Genomic DNA, 24,004 nt, shown 5'->3' on the forward strand with positions numbered 1-24,004 from the left:
TCTTATTCTCTGTATTTTCCAGCTAGAAAATTTTATGGCTATCGAAGAAATGAAGAAGCACGGAAGTACTCACGTCGGATTCCCAGAAAACCTGACTAATGGTGCCACTGCTGGCAATGGTGATGATGGATTAATTCCTCCAAGGAAGAGCAGAACACCTGAAAGCCAGCAATTTCCTGACACTGAGAATGAAGAGTATCACAGGTAAGCCTATGGCAACATTGAACAGGAGGTAACTTTGTGCTGTCAAACTAATCCTAATTTGAGCTAATATTCATGATGAACAAATTTTATACTTTTATTAGGATATTGAGCCTTGCCTGTTAATCAGAAAAATGAAAATCAGCAAACAATCAGTTACCGTTTTTTTTCCAGTCGTTAATTTATTTGAAAAATAACCAGTATTGACAAATGTGAGGGAAAAGGCATTTTCTTCTCTTTTCAGTGAACTTTTATTTTAGCTTCGGGGTACGTGTGCAGGTTTATTATATAGGTAAACTGTATCATGGAGGCTTGGGGTACAGATTATTTCACCAGCCACATAATAAACAAAATACTCGAAAGGTAGTTTTTTGGTCGTCTCCCTCCTGCCATGCTCCTCCCTCAAGTAGGCCCCAGTGTATGTTATTCTCCTCTTTGTGTCCATGAGTTCTCATGTTTAGTTCCCACTAATGAGTAAGAATATGTGGCATTTGATTTTCTGTTCCTGCATGAGTTTTCTTAGGATAATGGCCTCCAGCTCCATCCGTGTTGCTGCAGGGGAAATGGTTTCATTGAAAAAGACATTTCATATACTGTTGGTAAATACATTTTGAACATTAATTGAGTAGCATATTCACACACACATATATAACAGAGTAAGCATATATAATACATGTAAAGGATATTTGTATAGATATGTTATATGTATACTTATGTATAAGGACATTTATTATAGTATTATTATGTAAAAAATTTGGAGCTAGTCTAATTGCTTATCAATAGGAAATAGCTCAATTTCCGTATCCCCAAAATAATGTATTATGCAACCATTTTAAAAAAATGAGGTTAGATGTAGGGTATACTGATTATTTCACAATTAAAATGTATTTAAAGCGTTTAGTTTGATGACACATCTTAAGAGTTCTTGTTAAAATTCTTGTAATATCTGCTGTGTTGCAAATGGAAGCTACATGCTACATTGACACTGTACCTTGTTAGCAACAAGATTGCTAGTTACTAAATTTTTGTTGTCAGTGCCTGAGTGCTGAAATATTGGACCCTCAATCTGAATATTGCCAAGGGATTGTACATGGGGATCTATATTTAATATAAACATTTCAGTATATTTGGTAAAACTTTTATTAAAATACATCAAAGAATCTTTGATCTACTAAACCAGGAGTTGGCCAGCTTTTTCTGCAAAGAGCTAGTTAGTAAATATTTTAGGCTTTGTGGACTACATATATTTATTTTCTTGAGACAGGGTCTCACTCTGTTTCCCAGGCTGGAGTGCAGTTGTGTGATCATGGCTCACTGCAGCCTCGACTTTCTGGGCTCTAGTGATCCTCTGACCTCAGTCTCTACTAGCTGAGACCACAGGTGTGCAACATCACACCCAGCTAACTGACACTATGGACTGTAAAGTGAATAAGCATGGCTGTGTTCCAAGATACTTGACTTACAAAAACGGGCAGTGGGCTGGATTTGGCCCACAGGTGCTTATTTGCTGACCCTTGTGCTAAAAGGAAGGTGCTGCTAATGCAGTGACTTTTATTTGTAAAAGTGCCCTGCATGTGTGACATTATCCTCCCTTTGAGAAAAGGATATATTTCAGTATTCACCTCACCGTATTTTTCCAGTGACTTCATATGATTTTGAAAACTACATTTATAAAATAAGATTATTTTCTGCATTTCTCCCACTTTATTCCTGTTAATAGAACTCAGTATTTTACTGTGATCAATTACTTCATATATTTGATGAGTGTCAACTGTCCTAGAATTGGCTGATTTTTATCAAGCAAGAAATATTCTCCTTGAGAGTTTTAGTATTTCTTGGTCTTTATGTATAAGCATGAACAAAATGATAATCAGCTTATGTAATCTAGAAATGTGCAAAGGGCCTTTAAAACCTTGGTCTGACATTTCTAAATGCCATATGTGTATAATTTTTATAACCTTTAGAATATATAATTGTTACATAAAATTTGAAAACTCCACCTGTTATGTAAAATTTGGAAGCTACTATTTCTTGTCTATCACTTTTCCATGACTGTGGATGAAAATTACATCATTCTCAGTCATGAGCGTTAAGTATGTTGTCCTTAAAGAACTGTCTACACTCATGAACTCAAATTTTCTTTCCATTCACTCTTGATCTCAATGCCGGTAAGTCTTCAATTTCAGCACTCCTCCAGAGTTGTTTTTCCTCAAGATTATCACTAATTTTTTTCTGTACTAAATCTAGGCATTTTTCTTACATCTCATTTAATCTGTCAGCAATATTTGAGCCAATGGAGGGCATCTCCTCCCTAATGGCGTCTTCACTTGGCTTTCAGGACCTCACTCCCTCAGGCTTTTCCTCCTGCCTTTCTAGTCCGTTTATCATGGTCTGTTTTGCTTGCTGCTCCTCATCTTTCTCCTTTTGGACATTGTTGTTTCTCATGGCTCAGTCCTCAATCTTCTTTCTCATAGTTTTTTTTTTTTTTTTTTTTTTTTTTTTTAAGACAGAGTCTCGCTTTGTCCCCCAGGCTGGAGTTCAGTGGCATGATCTTGGCTCATTGCAACCTCTGCCTCATGAGTTCCAGCACTTCTCCTGCCTCAGCCTCCTGAGTAGCTGGGATTACAGGTGTGCGACACCACGCCTGGCTAATTTTTGTATTTTTAGTAGAGACAGGTTTCCCCATGTTGGCCAGGCTGGTCTCAAACTCCTGACATCAGGTGATCTGCCCGCCTTGGCCTCATGACATGTTGGGATTACAGGCGTGAGCCACCGTGCCTGGCCCCTCATGACTTTTTCTACTGTGTATATGCTAGTGATTTCCAAATGTATGTCTCCAACTTAGATCTCTTTCCTTAATTCCAGATCTCTATATCATCCCACCTACTTGACATCTCTATTTGATTAGCTGTTGGGTATCACACACTTGTCAGATCCAAAATTGGGCTACTGATGTCCTTCCTGAAATCTACACCTCATGTAGTCTTTCCTACTTTGGTTAACAGCAACTCTTCCAGTTGCTCTGCCAAAAACCTCAGTGTCATTCTTGACTGATCTTTCTCTCTGTCCTGACACTTCACATCTAATCTCTCAGTAAATCTTGTCAGGTCTATCTGAAGAATATATCCAGAGGCCAGTCTATCTTGTACAACTGAGCCACCGTCATCTGCAGTTTAGATGAGTGTCATAGACTGAGAATTGATAGTCCTGGTTTTTAAAAGCTTCCCCTTTCATCAATTCTTATCTCAGTGGATGTATTTAAAACATAAGTCAAATGTTGTCATTCCTCTGCCCCAGCCCTTCTGATTGCCTCCCATTTCACTCTGAGTATGTGGCAGAGTTCCTCCTAATAACTGAAAGGCAGTAAACCATCTGGCATGTTACCTCTCCTGCTGAAACTTCTGTTTCTTATCTCTATTGCTGTGTTTCAGCCACACTGAACTTGTTGTTATTCCTTACCTATCCCTTAGTGCTTAAAGACTCCAGGCACACCTCTGCACTTAGCAGTTCCCTGTGTCTGGAATGCTTTTTCCCCAGATATTCTTCTAGCTTACTGTTTCCATTACTTCAGCTCTTTACTTAAAATCCCCTTTCTAAGAAGAAGAAAAAGGGTAAAAAGAAACCCATTAAGGAATAACCACTTCCTGAGGGAGAACCATGTACCAGCACAATTCCTAGCCCAGAGAAAATGAAGAAAATGAAAAAAAAGAGAGATAATGAGGACTAACAGAAAGGAATTAGGATTGTATCATCAGGACACGTCAGGCTTCAGATTCAATTGGGAACATACCAGGGATGCTCTCTAACGTAATTGAGGGAAGTTTCAATGAAACAAAGTGATTTATCATCTCTAACTTCAAACCTATTTGTGTCTTGACATCAACTCTGTTAACATCATCATTTTTTAGAGTCTTTGATGTACAAATAAAAGTTTCTTTGTATTAAAGAAAAATCCTCTTTCTCAGCAGGGACTTTTCTGGCCATCCCAACTTTCCCACCACCCTTCCCATCAAACACATAAAGATTTCATTTTCCTGCTTTAGTTTTTCTCCTCTAACGTACTGTGTATTTTGCCGTATCTGTCTGTTGTTATTGTGTGTTTATCTCACTCTCATGAATAGGGTTTTTATTGTTCATTACCATATCCTCACTTCCTAGAAAAAGGCCTAGCCTATCAGACGTAGCTACCTAATAAATAGGTATTAAATGAATGAATGGAGTTTATCCCAGGTATATTGTTTGATTGATTCTCACTTAAAAAATGTTTGACAAGGTTCATTTTAACAATTTTGCCTGGTAATTATATGTATTTTAAAAATTCTTTCGGCTTTTTATAATAAGCTACATTCTTTATATTAATATTTTTTCACTTAGGGAGAAAAGCCCAATATTGTGGTTATTCACTATTCTTTTACTGGTAATCATGATAATTGCAATTATGGTAAAATGAGTTAGAGAAATTACAAGCTTTACTGGTATTTTATTTATTTAGAGACAGAGTCTCGCTCTGTCACCCAGGCTGCAGTGCAGTGGTGTGACCTCGGCTCACTGCAACCTCTGCCTCCTGGGTTCAGGCGATTCTCCTACCTCAGCCCCCTGAGGAGCTGGGATTACAGGTGCGTGCCATGACACCCGGCTAATTTTTGTATTTTTAGTAGAGACGGGGTTTCATCCTGTTTGTCAGGCTGGTCTTGAACTCCTGACCTCAGGCAGTCCACCCACCTCATCCTCACAAAGTGCTGGGTGGATTACAGGTGTAAGCCACCACATCCGGCCACTAGTATTTTATTTTTTTTAGGGTGGTAAATGTAATGGACTCACAAATTCTTTCCAAGGGATTATGGACCTTCGGTATTTGAAATAAAAAGACAGTTGGAATTTTTTGCTTCCGATAGTAAGACTATACTGGTCAGGCACTGTCTATTCTGATGGAGCAGCTGTTGCTGCTTGGCTGTCTTTCAGAAGCAAGCTGCTCACACTGATATTGGTTGGTGAGCAAGGCCAGTGGTCATTGATCGATTGACTAGATTTTGAACTGGCTCTGGCTGGCTTCTTGTTACCATGGCTACAGGTCAATTCTTTCCTAAGTTTGAGTCAACTTTAACCAGAAATTTTCTGTTCAAAAGTTGCCTTCCATTAACTATGTTCAAAAAGAAACTTTTTAATATTCCAGAATTGTGGATTTAAAGTTTTGGTTATGATGACTTGGTTAATAATAGCTCTCACGAAGATTTTTTTTTTTGATACATCATCTTAACCAGAAGAGTTCTCTGTATAATTTATTTCTTAAAAATAATTGTTTTGTTTTTGTTTTTGGTATTTTTAGAAGCTTTTGCTCAAGTCCTAACATAATCTCCAGTAGGAGATTTTAGTCTCTTTGTCAGTTCATGTATGTATATGATAGTCATATTCTGTGTTTTTAAATTCCTTTTCTTGTTCACTTTTTTCTCTGTACAATACTAGTGATATTGTTATGCATTTTTATCTCATTAAAAAGTTGTTACAATTTTCTGCTGGCAAATCTAGCTTTTTCTATATTTTGACTGAATAGGTTAAAAGTGAAGAAAATTTATGAGATCATTTTGTTTTCAAACAAAATCATAAGTAATAAAAATTGCTATTTTGAATTATAAATAATGACATTTAGATATTTTAAAAATAAGGATACCCCCCCCCAATAGTTTGGCTTTGTGTTTCTATGCAAATCTCATGTCAAATTGTAATTCCCAGGTGTTGAGGAAAGACCAGCTGGGAGGTGATTGGCTCATGGGGTCGGTTTCCTCCATGCTGTTCTTGTGATAGTGAGTGAGTTCTCACAAGAGCTGACGGTTTCATAAGGGGCTCTTTGCGCTTCACTTCTCTCTTCTCTCTCTCCCGCCGCCTTATGAAGAAGGTGCCTGCTTCCCCTTCCCCTTCTACCATGGTTGTTAAGTTTCCTGAGGCCTCCCCAGCCATGCGTAACTGTGAATCAAATAATCCTCTTTCCTTTATGAATTACCTAGTCTCAGGTATGTATGTGTGTGAATTACCCAGTCTCAGCTATGTACATATGTATATGTGTGAGTGTATATACACACATACATATATATGATACATATATGTGATGTGAGATATATATATGTATATACGTCCATTTTCTTTATTCCACTCATCAGTTGATGGACACTGGTTGATTCCATATCTTTGCATATTGTGAATTGTGCTGCAGTAAACATATGTGTGCGGGTGTCCTTTTGAGAGTACGATTTCTTTTATTTTGTGTAGATATCTGGAAATGAGAATGTTGGATAAAATGGTAGGATCTACTTTTAGTTCTTTGAGAACTCTCCATACTGTTTTCCATAGATTTGTATGAAGTTGCATTCCCACCAGCAGTGTATCACTGTTGTCTTTTCACCGCGTCCACACCAACATCTGTTGTTTTTTGATTTCTAATAGTGGCCATTCTGGCTGCAGTGAGGTGATATCTCACTGTGGTTTTATTGTACATTTCCCTGATGATTAGAGATATTTAGCATGTTTTTATATGCTTGTTTACCGTTTGTACCTCTTCTTTTGAGAAATGTCTATTCATGTAATTTGGCCACTTTCCAATGGAATTATTTGCGTTTTTCCTGTTGATTTGTTTGAGTTTCTTGTAGGTTATAGATATTAGTCCTTTGTTAGCATCATAATTTTCAAAATTTTCCCATTGTATAAGTTGTTGTTTTACTCTGATGATTATTTCTTTTGCTGTGCTGAAGCTTTTTAGTTTAATTAGGTCTTATTTATTTATTTTCATTTTTGTTGGATTTGCTTTTAGGGTCTTCCTCATAAATCCTTTGCCTAGGCCAATGTTTTCAGGTCTTAGGTTTAGGCCTTTCATCCATCTTGAATTAATTTTTGTATATGGTGAGAGATAGAGATCCAGTTTCATTCTTCAACATGTGGCTATCTTTTTTTCCCAGCACCATTTATTGAATAACCTGTACTTTCTCCAGTGTATGTTTTTGTATCCTTGCTCAGAGATCACTTGGTTGTAGTGGCTTTATTTCTGAGTTGTCTGTTCTGTTCCATTGATCTATGTATCTGTTTTTATACGAGTACCACGCTGCTTCTGTTACTGTGGTCTTAGAGTATCATTTGAAGTCAGGTAATGCGATGCCAACATATTTGTTCCTTTTGCTTGGTATGTCTGTTGCTGTTCAGGCTCTTTTGTGGTTCTACATGAATGTCAGCATTTTAAAATAATTCTGTGAAGAATGACATTGGTACTTTGGTAGGTATTGTATAGAATGTGTAGACTGCTTTGGGCACTATGGTCATTTTCACTATATCAGTTCTTTCAGTCCATGAACATAGGATGTATTTTCATTTGTTTGTGTCATCTGTTATTTTCTTTGGTGGTGTTTTCCAGTTATCTTTATATAGATCACTCACTTTTTTCATTAAGTATATTCCTAGGTGCTTCACACTTTTTTGCAGCCACTGTAAAAGGGATTGGATTGTTGATATGAACTCTCAGCTTGGTTGTAGTTGGTGTATAGTGGTGCTACTGATTGGTATTCATTTATTTTGTAACCTCTGAGACTTTACTGAATTCATGTATCAAATCTAGGAGTGTTTTGTAGGAGTCTTTAGGGTTTTCTAGGTATAGGATAATATCATTGGTGAAGAGATAGTTTGACTTCCTCTTTTCCAATTTGGATGCCCTTTATTTCTCTTGCCCAATTGCTCTGCCTAGGACTTCCCAGTTTTATTTTTAATATGCATGAAATAAAAGTAAAATGGAAAGTGCTTAACGATGAGTTTATTTCACATCTCTCTCTCATACACAGATAAAATTATTTCAAAGTCCTATGTTAAAAACATATTATACCCTGTCTTGTTCTAAAAGGAATTTCTAAGTTGTTTATAAAATACATAGGAATCAAGAATATAAGTAGAAAGTGTTTCCAAACAATAAACATAAAGAGTATGGGTTACAGGACACAGACCATTAGCAATCCCTGGCCTGTTAGGACCTGGGCCACACAGCAGGAGGTTCGAGGCAGGTGAGCAAGTGAAGCTCCATCTGTTTACAGCCACTCTCTGTCACTCGCATTACCGCCCGAGCTCCTCCTCCTGTCAGATCAGCGGTGGCATTAGATTGTCCTGAGTGTGACCTGAACCCTGTTGTAAGTTGCTCATGCAGGGGGATATAGGTTGTTCACTCCTTATGAGAATCGAATGCCTTTCTGATCTGTCACCATCTTCCGTCACCCCCAAATGGGACCATCTAGTTGCAGGAAAACAAGCTCAGGGCTCCCACTGATTCTACATTTTGGTGAGATATAATTATTTCATTATATATTAATAATAATAGAAATAAAGTGCACAATGAATGTAATTTACTTGAATCATCCTGGAACCATCCCCCACCTCAGGTTCCTGTAAAAATTATCTTCCACAAAACCAGTCCCTGGTGCCAGCATGGTTGGGGACACCTGGTTAACAGATGTGAGACCCCTTTGCCTTGTCTTGGAATAATGTGCAGATATGCATTGTGTGAATGACATCTGATGGCGCCATCTTGCCCTGTACATCATTTTAGGGACAGCTCCAGTATTTCATGAAAATTAAAATTTCTTCTAGTGACGAACAAAATGATACTCAGAAGCAATTTTGTGAAGAACAGAACACTGGAATATTACACGATGAGATTCTGATTCATGAAGAAAAGCAGATAGAAGTGGTTGAAAAAATGAATTCTGAGGTATTTTCTTTAGTTATTTTCAAATGTTTTTATATGTGTGTATATTTTAAAGAACTGTATTTTGGAAATATAAAGGATTTTTAAGTCATATATATGTGTGTATATATTCTATATATCCTTTGTCATATATCTATATACGTACATATAGGATAAAGCCATGTTCTTAATTCACCTTCATTTGCCTGCAACAGTTGAGTAGTGACCTGCACAATGGCCTCAATCCAAAGGAGAAGTATTTGATGTTTTTCATAAGAATTGACGATCTTTCCACATCAGAAATAAGTTTTGCTACTGAAAACAGATTTTCTCGTTTTTGGACATTAGTTTTTTAAAAAATGTTAATAGAGAAGTCAATTGATTATTTTCACTGATAAGAAAGTAGGAAATGTACAGCTGGGTCAGAGGCCACATTGTGGATACCATTATCCTTACTTTTGCAGAGAGGAACAGTTTGCTCCAAGTAGTTTCTCATTTCAATGTAAAGAGGTTTGAAAACAATGACATGCCATGATACACATTTAGTAATAATTTATTGATAAGTATTTTCTTTCTGGAGAAATAGTTCAGTATATTTCCCCTATTTCACCATTACTACTGTTTCAAACATTATAAAGAGGAAATAAAAGTTACCGCAATGGCAAATAATCTCATGATTTCTAAGAAAATCTCTATAAGTTGTATCTTATTTACCATTCATATTTTGAAACAAAAGGTTTCTTTTGTATTTATATATTTACACCACAGAAGTAAGTGTGATTTTGTGGAGGATCACTAGAAGTAGCATCAGCAGACCTGGGGAAAATCCTGCATCTGTGTATATTTTTTGACCTCTCCTTTTAAGAATCGCGATCTTAAATGAGTTCAGTGTTATATGTAGAAGTGGAATGCCTAGATACAGATGTGTACAGTGTAGAAGGGTACAGTGCTTAGATTTGACAGTTATAAATAAATGTAATTCTTATAACTGAGTATAGAAATATTAGAAATGTAGAATATCGGTAAAATGTTCTTCAGTAAAAGAACTTAAAGAACTTTGAGAAATTCCTTCTGTCCAAATATATGCATAGCTAAGGCTCTTAGGATGGTGTGGTTGATAGGTTAGATATCAGAGTGTAAACCTAATCTTAAAAATGTAGTCAAATTGTTAATCTTATATTTTATGCCTCTGGGTTTTTTGTAACTCAGAAAAAGGCTTTTTTAATTCTGGGATTCTTAAAAATCCTCTAGTGATTTATTTTTCATCGTCTTTAAATAAATATTTAAACTTTTAGGAATTTAGGAGCAGATTCCTAAAAGTTTAAATATTTATTTAAAGACGATGAAAAATAAATCACTGGAGGAATTTACACTCTTATTAGGTTTGAAGTTTTGTCCAATTTTTTTCCAGTTAAATATCCACTATGGGGATTCTTTCATTATACAAATACATGTTATTTTTGAATTTCAAAAGAAATCATGTTATGTCAATCTATTGAGTGCTAACTAAAAGTTCTCTTTGTTTACTTAGCTTTCTCTTAGTTGTAAGAAAGAAAGAGACTTCTTGCATGAAAATAGTATGTTGCGGGAAGAAATTGCCATGCTAAGACTGGAGCTAGACACAATGAAACATCAGAGCCAGCTAAGAAAAAAGAAATATTTGGAGGATATTGAAAGTGTGAAAAAAAAGAATGATAATCTTTTAAAGGCTCTACAATTGAATGAGCTCACCATGGATGATGATACCGCTGTGCTCGTCATTGACAACGGCTCTGGCATGTGCAAGGCCGGCTTTGCGGGCGACGATGCCCCCCGGGCTGTCTTCCCTTCCATCGTGGGGTGCCCCAGGCAGCAGGGCATGATGGGGGGCATGCATCAGAAAGAGTCCTATGTGGGCAAGGAGGCCCAGAGCAAGAGAGGCATCCTGACCCTGAAGTACCCCATGGAACACGGCATCATCACCAACTGGGATGACATGGAGAAGATCTGGCACCACACCTTCTACAACGAGCTGCGTGTGGCCCCCGAGGAGCACCCCATCCTGCTGACCGAGGCCCCCCTGAACCCCAAGGCCAACCGCGAGAAGATGACCCAGATCATGTTTGAGACCTTCAACACCCCAGCCATGTACGTGGCCATCCAGGCCATGCTGTCCCTGTACACCTCTGGCCGTACTACTGGCATCGTGATGGACTCTGGTGACGGGGTCACCCACACTGTGCCCATCTATGATGGGAATGCCCTCCCCCATGCCACCCTGCGCCTAGACCTGGCTGGGCGGGAACTGACTGACTACCTCATGAAGATCCTCACCGAGCGTGGCTATAGGTTCACCACCATGGCCGAGCGGGAAATCGTGCGTGACATCAAAGAGAAGCTGTGCTATGTTGCCCTGGACTTCGAGCAGGAGATGGCCATGGTGGCCTCCAGCTCCTCCCTAGAGAAGAGCTACGAGCTGCCCGATGGCCAGGTCATCACCATCAGCAACGAGTGGTTCCGCTGCCCCGAGGCGCTCTTCCAGCCTTGCTTCCTGGGCATGGAATCCTGTGGCATCCATGAAACTACCTTCAACTCCATCATGAAGTCTGATGTGGACATCCGCAAAGACCTGTACACCAACACAGTGCTGTCTGGCGGCACCACCATGTACCCTGGCATGGCCCACAGAATGCAGAAGGAGATCGCTGCCCTGGCGCCTAGCATGATGAAGATCAGGATCATTGCTCCTCCCAAGCGCAAGTACTCCGTGTGGGTCGGTGGCTCCATCCTGGCCTCGCTGTCCACCTTCCAGCAGATGTGGATCAGCAAGCAGGAGTATGATGAGTCAGGCCCCTCCATTGTCCACCGCAAATGCTTCTAGGTGGACTCTGACTTAGTTGCGTTACACCCTTTCTTGACAAAACCAAACTTCTCAGAAAACAACATGAGATTGGCATGGCTTTATTTGTTTTCTTGTTTCATTTTTTGTTTTGTTTTTTATTGGCTTGACTCAGGATTTAAAAACCGGAATGGTGAAGGTGACAGCAGTCGGTTGGAGGAAGCTTCCTCCAAAGTTCTACAATGTGGCCAAGGACTTTGATTGTACATTGTTCTTCTTTTCAATAGTCATTCCAAATATTGTGAGACGCATTGTTTCAGGAAGCCCCTTGCACTGCTAAAAGCCACCCCACTTCTCTCTAAGGAGAATGGCCCAGTCCTCTCCCTAGTTCACACAGGGGAGGTGATAGCATTGCTTTTGTGCAAATTACATAATGCAAAATTTTTTGAATCTTCGCCTTAATACTTTTTAATTTTGTTTTATTTTGAATGATCAGCCTTCGTGGCCCCCCTCTTTTGTACCCCAACTTGGGGTGTATGAAGGCTTTTGGTCTCCCTGAGAGTGGCTGGAGGCAGCCAGGGCTTACCTGTACTCTGACTTGAGGAGAGTTGGATAAAAGTGCACACCTTAAAAAAAATTGAGGAAGCACAGTATTTCAGTACAGTGGACAGCTTAGCATGTTGACAACTGAGAATAAAATGCTCAGTTCTGAACTGGACAATGTAAGACACAACGAGGAAACACCGGAAATGGAAATTCAATTACGTCATTGTAGACTGGCTGCTGCTCTACATGATTGTGACCAAAGTCAGATAGCTGAAAGAGACTTCTTTCCAGAGAACAAGACATGAACAGGTTTATTTACAGAAGACAATGAATTCTCATTTATCTCACCTAAAAGAGAACAGATTCTTTCTCAACAAGTCTAATGTAGACAGTAAAATCAACAGGCTAAAAATTAAGCTCCATGAAACAAGATAAAACTCTGAGAGAAAAGACGGGGCAGGCCGCCATCTTTCCCGTTCAGGCAACTTAGTCATTCCAGCCTGCGGGCTTTGGAGAGTACAAACCGACGAGGGACAGAAGAGATCCCACAGCACAGCATAGCTGCTTTACCAAATCATGGCCAGACTGCTTCTGTAAGCAGGCCCCTGATCCTGTTCCATCTCACTGGACAGGACCTCCCAACTGGGGCCTCCAGCTACCCCCACCAGCATTCCTTGGCCAATGGAAATGTGAAATGTTCCTGGGACAGAGCTCCCGGAGAGGGGCAGGCCCCCACCTTTGGTCTTTCGGTGACTAGCCATTCTGGCCTGCGGGTTTTGGAGAGCCCAAGCTGACAAGGGGTGGAAGACGTGCCTCAGCACAGCACAGCCACGCTACAAAAACGTGGCCAGACTCTTGTTTACGTCAGTCCCTGACCACATTTCTAGTCAGCGGGTGAAGTCTTTCAACCAGGGTCTCTGGCTACCTTGACTGCTGTTCTCTGGCCGACAGAGGTCTCAGGCCTCCCTGAGTCAGAGCTCCCAGGGGGAGGACCAGATTGTCATCTTTGCTGTTTGGGCGACCCAGGCATTTCAGCCTTAGGGCTTCAGAGTGTCTGAGGCGGACCAGGGGCTGAAGTGAACCCCCAGCACAGCACAGCTGCTCTATAAAAACGTGGCCAGACTTTTCTTTTTGAAGCAAGTCCCTGTTCTTGTTCGTCCTGACTAGGTAAGACTTCTCAACTTGCCTCCAGCCACATCTTACAGGTGTGTTCAGATTGGCAACAGGTTCGTACCTCAGTGGTACAGAGCTTCCAGAGGAAGGGGCAGACTATCATCTTCCCTGGAAAATACAAGGCAATTAGGGACTGGAGGGGACCCCCAGCATACCACAGCAGCCCTACAGAAAAGTGGCCGGGCTCTCTACTTGATGGGCAGATCCTCCTGGCCTGGGTCTCTAGCCAGCCCACCACTGGAGCTATCAAGCCAGTAGCAACTCTGCAGTTCCTGGGACAGAGCTTCCAGGAGCAAATGAAATCCTTTCTGCCACTGCCTCTGCAGTGGAACTGCCCTTGCTGCCCTCAGAAGATGCAAGGGAGCAAAGACCCTAAGTGCCCTATCAACACCTCCAATAAGCTGCAGTTGACCCAAAGAACAAGCCAGTCCATCTCCCACGGGTACCACACACCCTCCACTACTCATCACCAGACAGGGAACCCTGGCTTGGGCCCACAGCACAGACCCTCCATCCTGGGCTGATTACACTAAGTGATTGCTAACTCACATGTCTCTGGGATGGAGCACCCAGGAAACAAGCAAAGTGGTGGAGCAGCAAGTCAGGTGATGTGGAGCCCAGAGGTCAGGGATGGCTGTCTCTCTAGGGTCCACTTGCCCTTGTGAGACACTTTATCCCAGCACTTTAGGAATGCTGAGGTCATACCAGCCACATCTTATATGCAAGATTGCCCAGCAGAGATCAGGTCCGAGAGTTCCCTTTTTAAAAAAAGGAGACTTGCTTAATAAAAGAAGTCTAGCCACGTTTGTGTAGAGCTGCTGTGCTGTGCTGGGGGTTCACTTTTGAGAGAGTTCTCCTCTGAGACCTGATCTCTGGAGGCTGGGCAATCTTGCACTTGAGATGGGGCTGGTCTGATCTCAGCACTCCTTAGTCTGCTCGCCTCTCCCATGGCCCCAGCCTGGCCACACCTGCTTACGGGGCACTCTTAGATGCCCACACCATAGCTTCCATGCTAGTGGACTGTACCGTATCAGTGGAGAGCTGCAGCAAGGTGGCCCCTAGAGCCACGCACCAGCCTGCACATTGCCTCTCCATACGGCAGCCCTTTATTTGGAAACTTCCTAAATCACTTTGCTGTGTGTGTTTACACGGGTGGGTTTTGCTTTACTTGCCCTGAGAGCACACGGGAGTGCAGCACACACCCCAACCCACATCAACTGCCATTAAAGAAAAGAAATTTCAGCCCAGAATTTCATGTCCAGCAAAATTAAGCATCATAAGTGAAGGAGAAATAAGATCCTTTTCAGACAAGCAAGTGCTGAGGGAATTTGGTATCACCAGATCTACCTTACGAGAGCTCCTGAAGGAAGCACTAAATATGGAAAGAAAAGATCATCACCTGCTACTACAAAAACACACTGAAGTACACAGTCCAATGATGCTAAAAAGCAAGCACATATGTAAGTCTGCAAAATAACCAGCTGACAGCATGACGACAGGATAAAATCCACACATACCATTACTAACCTTAAATGTAAATGGGCTAAATGCTCCCATTGAAAGACACGGGGCAAGCTGGGTAAAGAACCAAGACCCACTGGAGTATGCCGTCTTCAAGCAACCCATCTCACGTGCAGTGCCATACATAGGCTCAAAATAAAGGAATGGAGAAAAATATTTCAAGCAAATGGAAAACAGAAAAAAGGTGTTGCACTCCCAGTTTCTGACAAAACAGACTCTACCAATAAAGATAAAAAAAGAGAAGGACATTACAAAGGTGGTCCTGACCTTTGATAAATCTCATTATTGCTTGATACCAACCTGGGCTATTTGTATTGCCCAAACCAATAGGATAATTTGCTGAGGTTGTGGAGCTTCTCCCCTTCACAGAGTCCCTGATCTCCGAAAATTTGGTTGAGATGTAAGGTTGATTTTGCTGTACAACTCCTTTTTTGAAGTTTTACTCATTTCCAACAAGGAAGGCAAGTTTTCCTGCTTCCATTGACAAAGGAGAGCAGGCACCTCCTTTCCTGAGTTTCAGCTTGCTTCTGACAGGGAAGGTGAGTGTAAGTTTTTCCAGCTTCTAAGATGGCAGAGAATGATCACCCAGTCTGAGCCTTATTTCCAGGTAAGTAGCTGAATTAGAGTTTTGTCTTAAAATTTTTCCTTAATGACTAAAATTTAAGATTACCCACCAGCTGCTTTTAATTCCTCCTTACCATTAGAACACTCAGTTAATCATATGAATTGTGCATTTGTTTGTTTTGCTTAACTCTTTTTGTTTATGTTTGGGGTTTTATTGTTGTTTCACTTTTCTCCCATCTCTTCCTGACTTGGTCAAATCCAAAGGAATGTTCCAAATTGTGGGAGCAAGGCATCTGAATTGGCTAAAACTCCTGTGGCTGCAAAACAAAAACAAAAACAAAACAAAACAAAAAAGCAAAAAAAAAAACCCACAAAAAACAAAAAAAAATCCAGTTGGAAATTTTTTAAAACTTTTTTTTAATTTTTAAATTTTATTATTATACTTTAAGTTTTAGGGTACATGTGCACAATGTGCAGGTTTGTTACATATGTATACATGTGCCATGTTGGTGTGCTGCACCCATTAACTCGTCATTTAACATTAGGTATATCTCCTAATGCTATCCCTCCCTGCTCCCCCACCCCACAACAGTTCTCGGTGTGTTATGTTACCCTTCTGTGTCCACGTGTTCTCATTGTTCAGTTCCCACCTACGAGTGAGAACATGAGGTGTTTGGTTTTCTGTTCTTGTGTTAGTTTGCTGAGAATGATGATTTCCAGCTTCATCCATGTCCCTGCAAAGGACATGAACTCATCCTTTTTTATGGGTGCATAGCATTCCATAGTGTATATATGCCACATTATCCAGTCTATCATTGATTGGCGTTTGGGTTGCTTCCAAGTGTTTGCTGTTGTGAACTGTGCCGCAGTAAACATACGTGTGCATGTGTCTTTATATTAGAATGATTTATTATTTTTTCAGTATATACCCAGTAATGGGATTGCTGGGTTAAATGTATTTCTAGTTGTAGATCCTTGAGGAATTGTCACACTGTCTTCCACAATGGATGAACTAATTTATACTACCACCAAGAGTGTAAAAGCGTTCCTATTTCTCCACGTCCTCTCCAACATCTGTTGTTTCCTCATCTTTTAATGTTGGCTATTCTAAGTGGTGTGAGATTGTATCTCATTGTGGTTTTGATTTCCGTTTCTCTAATGACCAGTGATGATGTGGTTTGCTTCACATGTTCTTTAGCTGCATAAATGTCTTATTTGGGAAGTGTCTGTTCATATGTTTTGCCCATTTTTTGATGGGGTTGTTTTTTTTCTTATAAATTTGTTTAAGTTCTTTGTAGATTCTCCATATTAGCCGTTTGCCAGATGGATAGATTGCAAAAATTTTCTCCCATTCTGTGGGTTGCCTGTTCACTCTGATGATAGTTTCTTTTGCTCTGCAGACACTCTTTAGCTTAATTAGGTCCCATTTGTCAATTTTGGCTTTTGTTGCCATTGCTTTTGGTGTTGTAGTGATGAAGTCTCTGCCCATGCCTATGTCCTGAATGGTATTGCCTAACACAAGGACATTTCTGTGCCTGAGTGCCATACCACCCAAAGTGATTTATAGATTCAGTGCTATCCCCATCAAGCTACCATTGACTTTCTTCACAAAATTAGAAAAACTACTTTAAATTTCATATGGAACCAAAAAAGAGTCTACATAGCCAAGACAATCCTAAGCAAAAAGAACAAAGCTGGAGGCATCACAGTACCTGGCTTCAAACTATTCTACAAGGCCACAGTAACGGAAACAGCATGGTACTGGTACCAAACCAGATATATAGACCAATGGAATAGAACAGAGGCCACAGAAATGGCACCACACATGTAAAACCACCACATCTTTGACAAAACTGACAAAGGTAAGCACTGGGGAAAGGATTGCCTATTTAATAAATGGTGTTAGGAAAACTGTCTAGCCATATGCAGCAAACTGAAACTGGGCCACTTCCTTACACTTTATACAAAAATTAACTTAAGAAGGATAAAAGAGTTAAACGTAAGACCTAAAAGCAAAAAATCTAGAAGAAAATGTAGGCCACCAACCTCAGGGGAAATGTACTTGTAGTGAAATGCATGGTACAAACACACATTCCCTACTTCCTTGAGTGGGTGAGGTTGGTGGCTGGTCCATCTGCTCCAAGTGGACCCTTACAGATGTGGCTGGTTGCTCTTTGAGCCAGCTTGGCCTTGCCCGGCATGCACAAGCATCAGTGAATAACTGTGCTATAAATGGAGCCACATAGAGGAAATGAGCAGCAGGCTCAAGACCAGGGTGTGCACTGCCTTTGGGGCTCCAGTCCGTGCCTCAGGGATGGTATGGCACTGCGAGCTTCTTGGTTGCCAAGAGGCAGACCACAGGCCATCTTGAGGAGGACTTTATGTTCAAGTGCAGAAAACAGCCAGGATTACCACCCAGGGGACTTGGCCTTCTGTGGCCGTGGCCAGACTTAGAATTTGTGTCAAGGCATGGCAAGCTCACTCGGAGCAGCGTGTTGGTACCTGGGGCCTGTGCATGCCAGACAAGGCCAGGCTGGCTCAAAGAGCAACCAGCCACCTCTGCAAGGGTGCGCCTGGACCAGGTGGACTAGCCACCAACCTCACCCACAGAAGGAAGCAGGGGTGACCAGGTTACGAGAGCCTGAGTAGCTGCCACCTGAGGGCTGATGGAGCAGAGGCCCGAGGAAAATCAGATGGCACGTTTAACTGTTTAATGGATCTTAAGTTAATTTTTCTATAAAGCAGATGTCACCAGTCCATGCCTCAGAGCTCGTATGGCACTGCAGACCACAGAAGGCCGAGTCCCCTGGGTGGCAATCCTGGCTGCTTTCTGCACTTGAACATAAAGTCCTCCTCAAGACGGCCTGTGGTCTGCCTCTTGGCCCTACCTTTAGGGTAGAAGAACCAATGTACCATGTTCAGCAGCAAGTGAGGTTGGTGGCTGGTCCGGTTGCTCCTGGCACACCCTTGCAGAGGTGGCTGGTTGCTGTTTGAGCCAGCTTGGCCTTGCCCGGCATGCACAAGCCTCAGTGCAATTACTGTGCTACAAACGGAGCCACAGAGAGGGAATGAGCAGCAGGCTCAGCAGCAGGGTGTGCGCTGTCTCTGGGGCTCCAGTCCATGCCTCAGGGCTCGTATGGCATTGCAGGCTTCTTGGTTGCCAAGAGGCAGACCACAGGCCGTCTTGAGGAGGACTTTATGTTCAAGTGCAGAAAGCAGCCAGGATTACCATCCAGGGGACTTAGCCTTCTGTGACCCTGGCCAGACTCAGAATTTGTGCCAATGCAGGACAAGCTCACTCCGAGCAGCGTGTCAGTAGCTGGGGCCTATGCATGCCAGGCAAGGCCAAGCTGACTCAAAGAGCAACCAGCCACCTCTGCAAGGGTGTGCCAAGAGCAGGTGGACCAGCCAGCAACCTCAGCTACTCAAGGAACCTGGGATGGCCAGTTTCCTACAGCGTGAGTGGCTGCCTCCTGATGGCTGATGGAGCAGAGGCCTTAGGAAAAGCAGATGGCCCTGTGGCCCTACCTTTAGGGTAGAAGTACTGATGTGCCATGTGTGGCAGCAAGTGAGGTTGGTGGCTGGTGCAGCGGCTCCTGGCACACCCTCGCAGAGGTGACTGGTTGCTCTTTGAGCCAGGTTGGCCTTGCCCGGCGTGAACAAGCCTCAGTGCAACCTCTCTGCTACATATGGAGCCACAGAGAGGAAACGAGCAGCAGGCTCAGGAGCAGGCTGTGCGCTGCCTTTGGGGCTCCAGTCCAAGCCTCGAGTCGTATAGCACTGCGGGCCTCTTGGTTGCCTAGAGGCAGAAAACAGGCCATCTTGAGGAGGACTTTATGTTCAAGTGCAGAAAGCAGCCAGGATTACCATCCAGGGGACTCGGCCTTCTGTGGCCCCGGCCAGACCTTGCAGAGGTGGCTGGTTGCTCTTTGAGCCAGCTTCACCTCCCTTGCATGCACAGGCCCCAGGTACTAACACGCTGCTCTGAATGAGCCTGTCCTGCCTTGGCTGCCACCTAATTGCTGATGGAGCAGAGGCCTTAGGAAAAGCAGATGGCACTGTGGCCCACCTTCAGGGTAGAAGAACTGATGTACCATGTCCGGCCACTAGTTGGTGACTGGTGCACCTGCTCCTGGCACACCCTTGCAGAGGTGGCTGGTTGCTGTTTGAGCCAGCTTGGCCTTGCCCGGCATGCACAAGTCTCAGTGCAATAACTGTGCTACAAATGGAGCCACAGAGAGGAAATGAGCGGCAGACTTAGGAGCAGGGTGTGTGCTGCCTTTGGGGCTCCAGTCCATGCCTCAGGGGTCGTATGACACTGTGGGCTTCTTGGTTACCAGGAGGCACACAACAGGCCGTCTCGAGGAGGACTTCATGTTCAAGTGCAGAAAGCAGCCAGGATTACCATCCAGGGGACTCGGCCTTCTGTGGCCCTGGCCACACTCAGAATTTGTGCCAAGGCAGGACAAGCTCACTTGGAGCAGTGTGTCAGTAGCTGGGCCTATGCATGCCAGGCAAGGCCAAGCTGGCTCAAAGAGCAACCAGCCACCTCTGCAAGGGTGTGCCAGGAGCAGGTGGACCAGCCAGCAACCTCAGCTACTCAAGGAAGCTGGGATGGCCAGGTTCCAACAGCCTGAGTGGCTGCCTCCTGATGGCTGATGGAGCAGAGGCCTTAGGAAAAGCAGATGGCCCTGTGGCCCTACCTTTAGGGTAGAAGTACTGATGTGCCATGTCCGGTAGCAAGTGAGGTTGGTGGCTGGTGCACCGGCTCCTGGCGCACCCTTGCAGAAGTGACTGGTTGCTCTTTGAGTCAGCTTGGCCTTGCCCGGCATGCACAAGCCTCAGTGCAACAACAGTGCTACAAATGGAGCCATAGAGAGGAAACGAGCAGCAGGCTCAGGAGCAGGGTGTGCGCTGCCTTTGGAGCTCCAGTCCATGCCTCGCGTCGTATAGCACTGCGGGCTTCTTGCTTGCCTGGAGGCAGACCACAGGCCGTCTTGAGGAAGACTTTATGTTCAAGTACAGAAAGCAGCCAGGATTACCATCCAGGGGGGCCTTCTGTAGCCCTGGCCAGACCTTGCAGAGGTGGCTGGTTGCTCTTTGACTCAGCTTGGCCTCCCTGGCATGCACAGGCCCCAGGTACTAACATGCTGCTCCGAGTGAGCTTGTCCTGCCTTGGCTGCCACCTAATTGCTGATGGAGCAGAAGCCTTAGGAAAAGCAGATGGCACTGTGGCCCACCTTTAGGGTAGAAGAACTGATGTACCATGTCCGGCCGCTAGTGGGTGAGTGGTGCACCTGCTCCTGGCACACCCTTGCAGAGGTGGCTGGTTGCTCTTTGAGCCAGCTTGGCCTTCCCTGGCATGCACAAGCCTCAGTGCAACAACTGTGCTACAAATGGAGCCACAGAGAGGAAACGAGCAGCAGGGTCAGGAGCAGGGTGTGCGCTGCCTTTGGGGCTCCAGTCCATGCCTCGGGTCGTATAGTACTGCGGGCTTCTTGCTTGCCTAGAGGCAGACCACAGGCCGTCTTGAGGAGGACTTTATGTTCAAGTGCAGAAAGCAGCCAGGATTACCACCCAGGGGACTTGGCCTTCTGTGGCCCTGTCCAGACTTAGAATTTGTGTCAAGGCAGGAGAAGCTCACTCGGAGCAGCGTGTTAGTACCTGGGGCCTGTGCATGCCAGGCAAGGCCAAGCTGGCTCAAAGAGCAACGAGGCACCTCTGCAAGGGTGCGCCTGGACCAATTGTACCAGCCACCAACCTCACCCACTGAAGGAAGCAGGGATGGCCAGGTTACAACAGCCTGAGTGGCTGCCACCTGGGGGCTGATGGAGCAGAGGCCTGAGGAAACTCAGATGGCACATTTAACTCTTTAATGGATCTTAAGTTAATTTTTCTATAAAGCAGATGTCACCAGTCCATGCCTCAGGCTTGTATGGCACTGCGGAGCACAGAAGGGCGAGTCCCCTGGGTGGTAATCTTGGCTGCTTTCTGCACTTGAACATAAAGTCCTCCTCAAGACGGCCTGTGGTCTGCCTCTTGGCCCTACCTTTAGGGTAGAAGAACCGATGTACCATGTCCGGCGGCGAGTGAGGTTGGTGGCTGGTCCGGCTGCTCCTGGCACACCCTTGCAGATGTGGCTGGTTGCTGTTTGAGCCAGCTTGGCCTTGCCCGGCATGCACAAGCCTCAGTGCAACTACTCTGCTACAAATGGAGCCACAGAGAGGGAATGAGCAGCGGGCTCAGCAGCAGGGTGTGTGCTGCCTTTGGGGCTCCAGTCCATGCCTCAGGGGTCATATGACACTGCAGGCTTCTTGGTTACCAGGAGGCACACAACAGGCCATCTCGAGGAGGACTTTATGTTCAAGTGCAGAAAGCAGCCAGGATTACCATCCAGGGGACTCGGCCTTCTGTGGCCCTGGCCAGACTCAGAATTTGTGCCAAGGCAGGACAAGCTCACTCGGAGCAGCGTGTCAGTAGCTGGGACCTATGCATGCCAGACAAGGCCAAGCTGGCTCAAAGAGCAACCAGCCACCTCTGCAAGGGTGTGCCAAGAGCAGGTGGACCAGCCAGCAACCTCAGCTACTCAAGGAAGCTGGGATGGCCAGTTTCTAACAGCATGAGTGGCTGCCTCCTGATGGCTGATGGAGCAGAGGCCTTAGGAAAAGCAGATGGCCCTAGTGGCCCTACCTTTAGGGGAGAAGTACTGATGTGCCACAGAGAGGAAACGAGCAGCAGGCTCAGGAGCAGGCTGTGCGCTGCCTTTGGGGCTCCAGTCCAAGCCTCGAGTCGTATAGCACTGCGGGCCTCTTGGTTGCCTAGAGGCAGAAAACAGGCCATCTTGAGGAGGACTTTATGTTCAAGTGCAGAAAGCAGCCAGGATTACCATCCAGGGGACTCGGCCTTCTGTGGCCCCGGCCAGACCTTGCAGAGGTGGCTGGTTGCTCTTTGAGCCAGCTTCACCTCCCTTGCATGCACAGGCCCCAGGCACTAACACGCTGCTCTGAGTGAGCCTGTCCTGCCTTGGCTGCCACCTAATTGCTGATGGAGCAGAGGCCTTAGGAAAAGCAGATGGCACTGTGGCCTACCTTCAGGGTAGAAGAACTGATGTACCTTGCCCGGCATGCACAAGTCTCAGTGCAACAACTGTGCTACAAATGGAGCCACAGAGAGGAAATGAGCGGCAGACTTAGGAGCAGGGTGTGTGCTGCCTTTGGGGCTCCAGTCCATGCCTCGGGTCGTATGGCACTGCAGGCTTCTTGGTTGCCAAGAGGCAGACCACAGGCCGTCTTGAGGAGGACTTCATGTTCAAGTGCAGAAGGCAGCCAGGATTACCATCCAAGGGACTCAGCCTTCTGTGGCCCTGGCCACACTCAGAATTTGTGCCAAGGCAGGACAAGCTCACTTGGAGCAGTGTGTCAGTAGCTGGGCCTATGCATGCCAGGCAAGGCCAAGCTGGCTCAAAGAGCAACCAGCCACCTCTGCAAGGGTGTGCCAGGAGCAGGTGGACCAGCCAGCAACCTCAGCTACTCAAGGAAGCTGGGATGGCCAGGTTCCAACAGCCTGAGTGGCTGCCTCCTGATGGCTGATGGAGCAGAGGCCTTAGGAAAAGCAGATGGCCCTGTGGCCCTACCTTTAGGGTAGAAGTACTGATGTGCCATGTCCGGTAGCAAGTGAGGTTGGTGGCTGGTGCACCGGCTCCTGGCGCACCCTTGCAGAAGTGACTGGTTGCTCTTTGAGTCAGCTTGGCCTTGCCTGGCATGCACAAGCCTCAGTGCAACAACAGTGCTACAAATGGAGCCATAGAGAGGAAACGAGCAGCAAGCTCAGGAGCAGGGTGTGCGCTGCCTTTGGGGCTCCAGTCCCTGCCTTGAGTCGTATAGCACTGCGGGCTTCTTGCTTGCCTGGAGGCAGACTACAGGCCGTCTTGAGGAAGACTTTATGTTCAAGTACAGAAAGCAGCCAGGATTACCATCCAGGGGGGCCTTCTGTAGCCCTGGCCAGACCTTGCAGAGGTGGCTGGTTGCTCTTTGAGTCAGTTTGGCCTCCCTGGCATGCACAGGCCCCAGGTACTAAGATGCTGCTCCGAGTGAGCTTGTCCTGCCTTGGCTGCCACCTAATTGCTGATGGAGCAGAAGCCTTAGGAAAAGCAGATGGCACTGTGGCCCACCTTTAGGGTAGAAGAACTGATGTACCATGTCCGGCCGCTAGTGGGTGAGTGGTGCACCTGCTCCTGGCACACCCTTGCAGAGGTGGCTGGTTGCTCTTTGAGCCAGCTTGGCCTTCCCTGGCATGCACAAGCCTCAGTGCAACAACTGTGCTACAAACGGAGCCACAGAGAGGAAACGAGCAGCAGGGTCAGGAGCAGGGTGTGCGCTGCCTTTGGGGCTCCAGTCCATGCCTCGGGTCGTATAGTACTGCGGGCTTCTTGCTTGCCTAGAGGCAGACCACAGGCCGTCTTGAGGAGGACT

General features: G+C 44.7%; 1 protein-coding gene across 4 annotated transcripts in view, besides 2 other annotated features; it reads left to right on the top strand.

Moving 5' to 3' along the window:
- Positions 1–11,931, top strand: part of POTEJ (POTE ankyrin domain family member J) — a 46,960-nt gene extending 35,029 nt beyond the window's left edge. For all 4 annotated transcript variants that reach the window (XM_017004741.3, NM_001277083.2, XM_017004742.2 and 1 more), the window contains 3 exons: positions 23–204; positions 8,815–8,935; positions 10,443–11,931. In XM_017004741.3, the coding sequence (XP_016860230.1) occupies positions 23–204; positions 8,815–8,935; positions 10,443–11,771 (1,632 nt within the window). In that variant the 3' untranslated portion in view covers positions 11,772–11,931. The remainder of the gene's footprint in view (positions 1–22; positions 205–8,814; positions 8,936–10,442) is intronic.
- Positions 18,732–19,233: an enhancer, noted in NCBI's record as "H3K4me1 hESC enhancer chr2:131422411-131422912 (GRCh37/hg19 assembly coordinates)". NCBI's record gives its function as "activates a minimal SCP1, AML or CMV promoter by ChIP-STARR-seq in naive H9 embryonic stem cells {active_cell/tissue: H9 hESC(naive)}" and the evidence as "EXISTENCE:reporter gene assay evidence [ECO:0000049][PMID:30033119]".
- Positions 19,234–19,733: an enhancer, noted in NCBI's record as "H3K4me1 hESC enhancer chr2:131422913-131423412 (GRCh37/hg19 assembly coordinates)". NCBI's record gives its function as "activates a minimal SCP1, AML or CMV promoter by ChIP-STARR-seq in naive H9 embryonic stem cells {active_cell/tissue: H9 hESC(naive)}" and the evidence as "EXISTENCE:reporter gene assay evidence [ECO:0000049][PMID:30033119]".

The sequence above is a fragment of the Homo sapiens genome, chromosome 2 (assembly GCF_000001405.40).
Source record: "Homo sapiens chromosome 2, GRCh38.p14 Primary Assembly".
NCBI classification, from domain to species: domain Eukaryota; kingdom Metazoa; phylum Chordata; class Mammalia; order Primates; family Hominidae; genus Homo; species Homo sapiens.